General features: G+C 40.6%; 1 annotated feature.

The window, feature by feature from the left end:
- Positions 170–700: an enhancer, noted in NCBI's record as "NANOG-H3K27ac-H3K4me1 hESC enhancer chr1:165599392-165599922 (GRCh37/hg19 assembly coordinates)". NCBI's record gives its function as "activates a minimal SCP1, AML or CMV promoter by ChIP-STARR-seq in naive H9 embryonic stem cells {active_cell/tissue: H9 hESC(naive)}" and the evidence as "EXISTENCE:reporter gene assay evidence [ECO:0000049][PMID:30033119]".

Raw genomic sequence — 11,797 nt, 5'->3', positions numbered from 1 at the left:
CGCGTGCGCGAAAGTAGCCGCGCCTCAATCGATGTGTCCCTGAGGCGCGTAGCTGGGGCGTGGGCGGCGCTTGGTGTCCCAGGTTGCTACACTCCCGAAGTGAATGGATTTATCGCTGTTAGGGCCTTTTTGTTTAGGGCCTAACAAATATTGTTAGTTTTGCCGAGAGCTGGCGCCGAGCCCTGCCCTCGTGGTGGGCCGTACCCACGCCCCCTGAGCGCGGAGTCGCGTGGCTCCGGAGTTTTGTTTTTTTGAAAGGAGTCTCCCAATTGTCCGTGGAGTTTTTTTTGCGGCACATGGAGTCTCTGCCTTCGCGACCCAGACCTTTGATGTGAACACCTGCTCCCGTTACGCTCGGGTCCAGCGTCCGGGGCGGGGCTCGAGGCCGGGTGGAGGAGGGGTGGGGGCGGGGGTCTTGGTCTTGGGTGAGACCTGCAGATACGGTCGGGCTGAAGGAGTAGAACTGGCTTCTAAATGCCGGAAAATCCGAAGGAACTGACTGCAGAAGGCACGTTTCCAATTTTCGCGTGTTTTAAGTGCACCCTCCCGCCACCTCTCCTCTGGACATCCCTCATCCTTTTGAAGATTGCCACACCTGGGCCCCTCCTAGAGTCTCCTCTTTGGAGGATTCCTCACCTCCGAGAGAATGCTTAGGAACCCACCTGAATGATTCCAAGTTAAGGTGTGGAAAGGCAGAAATCTAGATTTTTGAAGGCTCTAGGTTATGTGTGTGTTTCTTTTTATTGGGTTGTCATATTTGCACATCTAGAGGTACTTTGAGAGCTCATTAAATCTTTACTGTTGCTGTTTCAGCAATTTCCAACCATTCTCATACTTTCTGTCATGTTGGGTTTCTGTCATGTTGGATGTAGAGAGGGCTTTGTTTTGCTTGAACATTGAAAGGAAGTAAGTTAGGGAGACAGTTTTGCATTATTGAGGCAAGTTTCTCCACTTGCTGGCTGTTCTACGTAAGAAGTCATTCCAAGGTGGTGGAAGGGATGATTCAAAAATCAGGAGCGGGGATGCACCTTGCACCCTCATTTTACACCGGAGACTGCAGTCTCAAAAAAAATTTGGCCTCTTCTTTGCCAGTTATCTCTGACCACAGACAAGTACTTAACCACTGAGGACCTTCTTTTAAAAATCTTATTACAAAAGCAGTATTCCTTTATATTAGAATTTTCGGAGATACAGAAAAGCCCACAAAAAAATTACATACACACACAATAGAATCATACTGTATATTCTGTTTTGTGGTCTGCTCTGTTCACTTCATAAAATGTAAACCCTTTTTTTGCTTTTCATTTCTTTTTCTTTTCTTTTGATACATAAACCAGAGTGTCACTTTATTGATTTGCAACTGGGAACCTAAGTATGTTGTGGACTAGAAAACTCCTGTCATGCACTCAGTGTATTTTTTTCATGTAGGACGCTTTTCATTTCTTGAACGGTTCATGCTGCAACATTATTTGGCAATCAGTGCATGTCTTTTCATAGCATGGATGTACCAATCCTCTTGCTGGAGTTAGCTTGCTTTCACTTCTTTCCTATTGCAGTGTACAATCTTGTAGATAAATCTGTGTACGTGCTTATGATTTCTTTTTTTCACTGAATTCCTTTGCAGAGGAATTTCTAGGTTTTGATCTCTGTCAATAAGATGCACTCCAGGAAGAGAGTTACAGTCCTCTCCCACACTGGATATTGGATATCATTTTCTTCCATCTCTCTAAAGGGGAATAAGACCTTTCTCACAAAGTTATTGTGAAGTTCAAGTGAAGTGAGGACAAAGTGCTACACAAAAGTCCTGCCCTTTTGTCTCAGGATAATATATTTTGCAAGTCCTATTGAGGTGGGAAGTTAAAGAAAAAATTAAAAAGAGAAGTAAGTTTTCCTGTATTAGGCTGACTTGTTCCAGAGGCAGCAATGGGCACAGCCCAGACCCAGGGAAAGTCTTGATAATACTATCTAAGGAGCCAGGACACAAAGGAATGTGCTCTGGAGACTCTCCCAGCACTCCCTCCACATAGGGAGAAGAAAAACAAATTTTCCTTTGTTTTATGGTATGAGTTTATGAAAATTCCTGTTCTCTGTAACTGGTGACTTCAGGTATTCTGTTTTATCTAAGCAGTAGAGTGAAGGTCATAAACTGTCTGAGCAGGCCACCTGGACGCTATAGTGAAGGTCATGGAATAAGCCGTGCTAGGCACTAGGCAAACCTAGATAATGGACATCTGGGTTGCATAGCAATGGTCATGTGTAATCCTGAGTTATGAACCTGTTACAGTTTAATTAACTGTCTTTGTCCTGCCTCTGTATCCCTGCTTTCATGCCACTGTAAGCCGGCTTCAGGCTGGTCCACACCCCTTTTTGAGGTGTGTATAAAAGTCAAGTGCTGTCTTTGTTCTGGGCCCGGTCTTTGGATGTTAAGTCTGCTGGGTCTGAGTGCACTCAATAAAGATATCCTTATGTATATACCCCAAGGCCTCTCTCTGGTCCTCCTGATTCCACAACACTATTACAACAATATAAATTATGGATATGTAACACTTGCTCAGAAGTTAGTCTGTACTTAACTTCAGTCACCATTAATTCCTTCTCCATTTACAATCTGGCTTCTGCTTCCAAACGTCATCTCACACTGCTCTCTCAAAGGTCACCATTTGCCTTGTAAACGCTCTCTATCCTTGGATTCTCAGACATTGCTATGTCATGATTGTTTTCTTTGTTGCCTCCTTTCCTGGTCCCTTTTTGTCTCCCTACCTCTTAAAATGTGTTCAAGGCTCTCCAGAGTGCTAGCCTCTATTTTTCCCCCTCATTCTTCTATGAGTCGTTTCTTTGACTCTCCCTTAACAATTTCCCCCGTTTCTGTGAATATTTTGGTTGTCTAGAGTCAAAATGCCCTTCTTTTTTTAAGGAAAATCCCTTATTTTAAAATATGTTGTTTGAAAGTAGGTACCTACTGTAAAAAAGTTAAAAGGCCAATTCTCCCTCTCCCTCACTTCAGAGGAACTAAGGGGGTGGGCATGTGCCTTCAGCTTTGCCAATCAGATGCTTGCTCCCAGGCCTCCGATTCTTGAGGAAATTAACAACAACATGGGGACATTTGGAGATCTCCATTCATTATGGTGGCAGCAGTGGGAAGACCAGATCTCTCTCAGTCTTTTCTGATTACTCCGTTAAAAATTACAGCCTCCCTCTTCTCAAGGAACTCCTTATTCCCCTTCCTTGTTTTATTTACTACCATTTTTGGTAATAAGTAAAATTTACTACCCTTTTGTATTTTTGATTTAATTAACATTTGTTTTATTATCTGGCTTTCCTACTCAGTAGTAAGTTACATGAAAATGGAGATATAGTCTGTTTATTGCTGTATCCCTATTGCTCTTAAATGCCTGGCATACAGTAGACACTGTATTAGTCAGGGTTCTCTTAGAGGGACAGAACTAGGGGAGTTTATTAAGTATTAACTTACACGATCACAAGGTCCAACAATAGGCTGGCTGCAAGCTGAGGAGCAAGGAGAGGAGACCCAGTCTGAGTCCCAAAACTGAAGAACTTGGAGTCCGATGTTCAAGGGCAGGAAACATCCAGCAGGGGAGAAAGATGTAGACTGGGCGGCTAGGCCTGTCTCGTCTCTTCACATTTTTCTGCCTGCTTCATATTCACTGGCAGCTGGTTAGATGGTGCCCACCCAATTAAGGGTGGGTCTGCGTTCCCCAGCCCACTGACTCAAATGTTAATCTCCTTTGGCAACACCCTCACAGGCACACCCAGGATCAATATTGCATCCTTCAATCCAGTCAAGTTGACACTCAGTATTAACCATCACAGACACTCGGTAGCTATTTGTGAAATGAATACATATGTGACTTCTTTCCGTTGCCTAGCCATCTGGAACTCTCTGACTTCTTGGCCTTTTTATGAAGCCTGTACCTCCAGCCTAACTGTGACTGTGTGAGCCCTGATAGCCTTCCAAGAATTATCCTATTCAGCAAGGTAGCCAGAGTCAGTTTCTGTTTCATGCAGAATCACCTACTATATTACAGGATTCTCATACACAGCATGTCCAAAGCCACATTCATTACCATTCCAATAAAACCTTTACATATTTCAGCAAAGGAAATAATCTGAGTAATTACATCAGCTGGAAACTTAGCATCGCTCCTTTTCCTTCATTCCTTGGAGGTGGGAATGAGATAGCCCTGCAGCAGAATCCAGAAGAGCCCCTTATTTAGCTGTGTGACTTTGGGGGAAATTATCTAAGTTCTCTGCAACTTGTTTTGCCTTTTTATTTGCAAAATTGGTATACTAACACCAATCTTACTTGGCTGTTGTGAAGATAGTACAGAGTTTGGGCCTACTATAGTCACTTAATAAATAGAGGTTTTAGTTATTACCAATTTGTGTTGATGGCACCTCAAAACAGTTTCTCTTCTAGTCCCTTTGCCCTAGTTCAGGCTTCAGTCTCCTCTGACCTGAGCAATTACCAGAACTCTTTTTTTTTGAGACAGGGTCTTGCTCTGTTGCCCAAGTTGGAGTGCAGTGATGTGATCATGGCTCACTGAAGCTTTGACCTCCTAGGCTGAAGCAATCCTCCTGCATCAGCTTCCTGAGTAGCTGGGACTATAGTTGTGTGCCACCACATTTGGCTAATTTTTTTAAATTTTAATTTTTGTAGAGATTGGGTCTTACCATGTTGGGCAGGCTGGTCTCTTAACTCCGGGGCTCAAGCAATCCGCTTGCCTCAGCCTCCCAAAGTGCTGGGACAACAGACATGAGCCACCATGCCTGGCCACAGTAACCTTTTAACTGGCTCTCCCTTTAAAATTCATCACCAACCACCATTACAGTTATTTTTCTAGAGCAGATATCTTCTTTGATGACTGTGACCAATGCCTTTAGCATGAAGTCCAAACTCTCAAATATGGCATTTCAAGATCCTTACTAGTTTAGCCTCAAACTACTTTTCCAGAATCCTCTCATTTAACTTAATTTAATAAACATTTGTTAATGCCTGTTGGGTGCCAGGTACTAATATAACTTGTATTTTAATAAGAGAGCCTGTCAATAAAAACAATAAGATTATCACAGATTATGACTCTTTCAGCCTGTTTTGTGCTGCTATAATGGAATACCTTAGACTGTTTAATTTATTTTTAAATTTTATTTATTTTTGTTATTGTTGAGACAGCCTCACTCCATCACCCAGGCTGGAGTTCAGTGGTGCGATCTTGGCTTACTGCAACCTCTGCCTCCTGGGCTTAAGCGAGTCTCCTGCCTCAGCCTCCTGAGTAGCTGGGACTACAGGCATGAGCCACCACACCTGGCTAATTTTTGTGTTTTTAGTAGAGACGGGATTTCACTATGTTGGCCAGGCTGGTCTCAAACTCCTGGCCTCAAGTGATCTGCCTGCCTCGGCCTCCCAAAGTGCTGGGATTACAGGCATGAGCCACCGCGCCCAACCAGACTGTGTAATTTATAAGGAACAGAAGTTTATTGGCATTTTGCATTTGTTATTTGAGTTTATCATTTGTTACTTTGTTTACCTGTATAAAACTTTGTGTAAATTAAGGACATTAGTTGTTTGCTTTCCTGTACTGAAAATGTCTTTCTCCAATTTGTCAATTATTTTTTGGCTTTATTGATTTATTTTTGGTCAAAGAGAAAATAAATTTTGTGTGATTCAATTTATCAAATTTCTGTCTTGGTGTTCTCCTTCGAAAGGCCTTTTTCGTTCCAGAATCTTAACTAAATTAATTCATGCTTTATTCAGAAATTGTATGGATTTATTTAATGCAAAATCTTTGATACAATTATAATTAATTTCAGTGTAAATAGTGCTACAAATTCATCTTTTCTTTTCCTAACAATCTTACAGGTAACCCCACACTATTTTATTTACCCCACCAACTAGGTTACATATAAATCCACTGGTTGGAAATGGTGCCTTTATTATGAACTAAAATGCCATGCGTATTTAGGTCTATTTCTGGATTCTGGATTCTGTTCCACTGATGTCTTTTTCTTCTTCTGTAATAGATTATTTTAATTATGGCAAGACTATTTGGGTTTTAAAAACTTAGTTTTTGGATTGGTGCAGTCAACATGGTCAGCAGAGTTGGGGCTGAGGCTTCAGCTGGCATGATTGGTGGCTCCAGTGCCACAGAATCAGCCAGTGTGGCCAGGACGGCTGGGCTGAGGATTGAACTGCTGAGTTAGCGTGTTTGGTGGGATTGGGGCTGATGGTTCAGCCAGTGTGATTGGGGTTGGCCAAGGGGACACGCTGAGAGGCCAAGAGGTTAGTTACATACTAGAGGATTGACTGAAAAAGTAGATATATTGAGACTAAATGGAATCCAGGTTTCTCACTGTCTGAGAAAGGGATTACGAACATGGAAAAGCAAAGGTTGGAAAAAACTCTGGAGTGTTAGTTAAGGATTGGAAATATTGGTGTGAACTCATGGTTTTGAGTATGGCTTTTACAGACTGGCATAAAAAAATATCTAGGCTGTGTGTGTGTGTGTGTGTGTGTGTGTGTGTGTGTGTTCATATATTTCTAGCTCCGTCTCTTGTGAAGGCCTAGAAACAATAATATCTCAGTAGCAATGAGTATGTGTAGTGCCCAGATCTTGGTTTCTAAATACTATTTTCCACTAAAAGGAGTCAAGCTCCTTGAATAAATTGCTGATTCCAAATATGGAACAAACAAGTACAAGATGAGACTGAAGGATATTTTTAGTGCCAGAAAGTAAAATTTGCTTGAAGAATAATAAGCAGTATTATTATTCCTTTTATTCATAAGAACACAGAAACCAACTTAATAAAGTTTCCACTGACCAAATCTGGGATAATTTAAGCATCAAAACAAATAATGCTAATAACAGATATAATCCACTGAATAAAATAGAAATTCACAAGTCTGTGCTGATATGAATAAATGCATGAATAAATGCATGAATAAATAAATAACTGGGGCAGAATGGAAAACTCTACCTTGTAGTAAGATGCCAACTAATAAGCATAGAAGAAATGATAGAGTTAGGATCATTGTGCAATCATTATCATAAAAACTGATTCAAGGAAGACTCATCACTGGATCCTAAAACTAGTAAGTGAACATTTGATAAGGAATAGAATATTTACATAATTCCAAAGTTATCTCCACAGACTACATATTAATACCAAATATTTAATAGTTAATTTTACAATAGAGGAGTCAGACATTATCTTATAAAAGTTAAAACAGCATAGGATAAATGGATATTGTATATGTCCTGATAGGATGCCATTAGAACATAGCATCACTTTTTATACAATTCGGCCAAAAATTGTATAACTTACATGTAATTATGAAGAAATACTAAACAAACCCAAATTGATGGACTTTCTACAAAGTGAGTAACCTGCTCTTTTTAAAAATGTCAAGATCATAAAAATAAGGTAAGACTCAGGAACTGGTCCAGGTTGAAGAAAACTAAAGAGAGATGACAACTACACATTATGTATGATCCTGAACCTATAATAGCTATTATTAGGACAATTGACAAATTTGAATGTGGTCTGTGAATTTGATTGAAGTTCTTATGGAAGCCAAGTTGGACAGGAACACCCTGTGTATAGAATAATGCACAGCTTTGAAAGTTAGGCAATGAATATTTTAGAGCTATTATCCAAGGTGGAGGCCTGATTTCATAAAAAATGGTGGTGTACTTAGGGGTTGATTGTGTACCTACTCTTTATCTAAATAAAGTGCAACTGAGGTACAGGAATCCAATTTTCAGTGTCTATAAAGACTGGTTCAGCTTCAGAGTGAAAGGGGAACTGGGTGGATTAAGATCTTGGTATTCTTACATACTCAAGGAATGGGTATGTAATAGCTCCGTTTTCGAAAAAGCCGAATGCCTTTATGCATCCAAATATTCTTTCTTTAAGTTATTTTGGATTGGAAGTCATTTTCACATCCTTTCTGTTTTTATTTTTAAAATTTCATAAATAGAATTAATGCATATGTTTAAAATCAGATGAGAGAGAGAGAAGGAGGGAGAAAGGGAGGGAGAAGATGTGATGTGTCTCCATCCCTCCCACTCCCTCCCTTTCTCCCCTTTCTCTCTCTCTCTCTCTCTCTCTCTGTCTCTCTCATCTGATTTTCCCACCCTCCAGAATGGTTCTATTATCCTTCTCAGTTTTTCCATTTGGAATTAAGGCATCTTTAAGCAACACAATTCAACTTCAACTTCTTATTCCACAAACAAGAGACTGCATTTCTTAATTCCCCATGTTGGGTCTTGATGCTCCTGCTGTTTTTGTCCCTCTTTAACCCATTACCACTTTGCTACCTCTGTCAACTATAGCTGTACTTTGACAATACACAGATTAATAATATTTACACTATGATCTGAAACTATCGTTAATTTCTCCATAATTTGTCTATAATTCAATTCTATAAGTTGTAATTCAATAACTAGTGTAGATATTATTACAGCAGTGTAAATACTATCTACAGTAGGACCAAATATTGTGTTGAGCTTCCTCTCCTTATTTCATGCCTAATATCATGACCCCCACACATCTTAATGGATAATGTTGCTATACAGGAATATAATGATCATAGTTTAATGTTCTTTAGTAACTCAGGATCATAATTGTGAACGCTAATTTTTTTTTTTTTGAGATGGAGTCTCACTCTGTTGCCCAAACTGGAGTGCAGTGGCGCCATCATCTAGGCTTACTGCAACCTCTGCCTCCTGGGTTCAAGCAATTCTCCTGCCTCAGGCTCCTGAGTAGCTGGAACTACAGGCGCGTGCTACCATGCCTGGCTAATTTTTGTATTTTTAGTGGAGATGGGGTTTCGCCATGTTGGCCAGGCTGGTGTCGAACTCCTGACCTCCAATGATCTGCCTGCCTTGGCCTCCTAGCCTATGCTGGGATTACAGGCGTGAGCCACTGTGCCAGGCCAATATTTTGCTTGCCATAATCCAATGGTGTCAATAGGGTGTACTGGGGTACACAGAGTGCTTTTCTTCTACTAATAATAGCCATAATTTATTGAGCACCTACTAGGTAAGTGTCAGGCAATCTGATGGGCAATTTTCTTATTTTATTTTATTTTATTTTAATAACAACGCTTTGTCACTCCTACTTTTACAGATGAGAAAATACAAGTTAATTAACTGAGAGGGCTAGATTTGAGTGAAGGACTGACACTAAGTTGGATTGACCAACTCATTCCAGTTTGCCTATGACTTACCTGGTTTAGCACTGACAGCCCTGTGTCTTGGGAATCCCCTTCTTGGATAAACCAGCATTATTGGTCACCCTGTAAGTCTAGCCTTTCTCTCTGTTTAAAAAAAATTAATCATCATCATCATCATCATCACAATTTTCATGGCTTGGGCTTCATTGCTCGTCTGCTAGCCAGTTACAAGATTTGCTAATGAATTATTTGAATTGGGAGCTCTAACCAAAGCCTGGGCTGATGTCAAAACTGTATGCGTTTGTAGTGCTGTATGTCTCTTATTTTTCAATATATCAAAAAATGTTCTTCTCAATTAGTCTATATTAGGATGGTAACTTTTCTATACAAAGCATACCTTTGGAGCCTTCCCTTGCTGGTGCCCCCCATATTCATCCTCTACTATGGTGTATCTCAGAACTCAGACCTTGAACTTCTTTTCTGTCTGCATACTTGCATGATGATTTATTTACTGCCATGACTTTAGATATCATCTGTGTGAGCTAATGACCCCTAAATACATATTGTCAATACAGACATCCCCCACAAACTTATGACACAGATACTCAATTACTTATTGGATATCTCCTCTTAGAGGTGAAATAGTTTATCTTAAACTTAAAATATTCAAAAATAAATTTCTCATCTTCCCTGAGAAACTTCCTTCTCTCACAGTCTTCTGCATTTCAGAATAGCAACTCCATCCTATCAGTTGTTCAGGCCAACATTAGAGCCATCCTTGACTCTTCTTTTACTCTCTCAGCCTATAGAAAAGTCTGGCAAATCCTGTCAACTATGCCTTTGGATTGCATCCAGAATTTGACCACCTCTCATTGCCTTCACTCAAACAACACCTGGGGCTGAGCCAGGTCTCATTTGGATTATTTCATCAGCCTCTTAATTGATTTCCTTGATTTCATTCTTCCCCACCTAGAGCCTATTCTCAAGAAAAATCCAGAGTGGTCCTTTTAAAACATATGTAGGGTCACTCCTGTTTTCACAGCTTGTTTTCCATCTCACCCAGGGAAGCCCAGCCTGAGGATGGCCTCATGCTGTGTGCACATCACCCCCCTTACTGCCCTAACCCCTCCAACAGTCCCTCTGACCTCCTTGCTCCTTGAAAACTCCAGGTATGTTCATTGCTGTTCCTTTTGTCTGAAACGCTCATCCCCGAGTTATCTGAAATCAGGACCAGCTACAGAATATTTGGGCCCAGTGTATAGTGAAAATGTGGAGCTTCTTGTTAAAAAACCATTAGGAATGTCAAGGTGGTGACAGCAGAGAATCAAACCAAGTGTAGGTCTCTTCTGAGTATGAGGCCCTGTATGCAAGTCCGAAAGTCCTCAGCACCTTCAGGAGTTTGTTCAACAGTCAACTTCTTATTTTTTATTCTTCTTCTTATTTTCTTTTTCTATTTAGCATTTCTCACTCTCTTAACTCACTGTTTAACTTACTTATTCCACATTTTCTGTCCTCTCCCTGCATTAGGATATATGAAGGCCAGGGGTTTTGTTTTGGTCACTGCTGTATCTTCAGCTCCTGGGACACTGCTTGGCACATAGTGAGCACTTGAATACTTGAAGAAATAAAGAGAGAGAGAGACAGAGAGAGAGAGAGAGAAAGGAAGGAAGGAATGAAGGGAGGGAAGGAGGGAGGGAAAGAGAGAGACAGAGGCAGGGAGAGAGGGAAAGAGGGAAGGAGGGAGGAAGGGAAGGAAGGAAGGAAGGAAGGAAAAAAGGAAGAAAGGAAAGAGAATACATTGATTTTTTAGCTGTCAGGTAGGAATAATCAATTTTTAAATCCATTCTTCAGAGGCAGAGTCTCACAGACCTGAAGTATCTGTATAAAAATTACACGAATTCTTTTATCTGCTTCAGTTTTTACCCCAGGACACACTTGGGCCACAGAGCAGCTGGACCTTCTTGCCTTCTAATAATAAATACAGTCTCTCCATATGGGCTTTTCTTATGCAATCCTGCCTCTCCTTATTAGGTCCTAAAACTGGGGGTTTCTTTCTTTCTTTTATTTTTTTGAATTATTGGCTCTTTTTATCTTTTTTTTTTATTATACTTTAAGTTTTAGGGTACATGTGCACAACATGCAGGTTTGTTACATATGTATACATGTGCCATGTTGGTGTGCTGCACCCATTAACTCGTCATTTAACATTAGGTATATCTCCTAATGCTATCCTTCCCCCCTCCCCCCACCCCACAACAGGCCCCGGTGTGTGATGTTCCCCTTCCTGTGTCCATGTGTTCTCATTGTTCAATTCCCACCTGTGAGTGAGAACATGTGGTGTTTGGTTTTTTAACCTTGCGATAGTTTGCTGAGAATGATGGTTTCCAGCTTCATCCATGTCCCTACAAAGGACATGAACTCATCATTTGTTATGGCTGCATAGTATTCCATGGTGTATATGTGCCACATTTTCTTAATCCAGTCTATCATTGTTGGGCATTTAGGTTGGTTCCAAGTCTTTACTATTGTGAATAGTGCCGCAATAAACATACGTGTGCATGTGTCTTTATAGCAGCATGCTTTATAATCCTTTGGGTATATACC

This window comes from Homo sapiens, chromosome 1, assembly GCF_000001405.40.
Source record: "Homo sapiens chromosome 1, GRCh38.p14 Primary Assembly".
NCBI lineage: Eukaryota > Metazoa > Chordata > Mammalia > Primates > Hominidae > Homo > Homo sapiens.
This window is presented reverse-complemented; position numbering and strand designations above follow the sequence as displayed.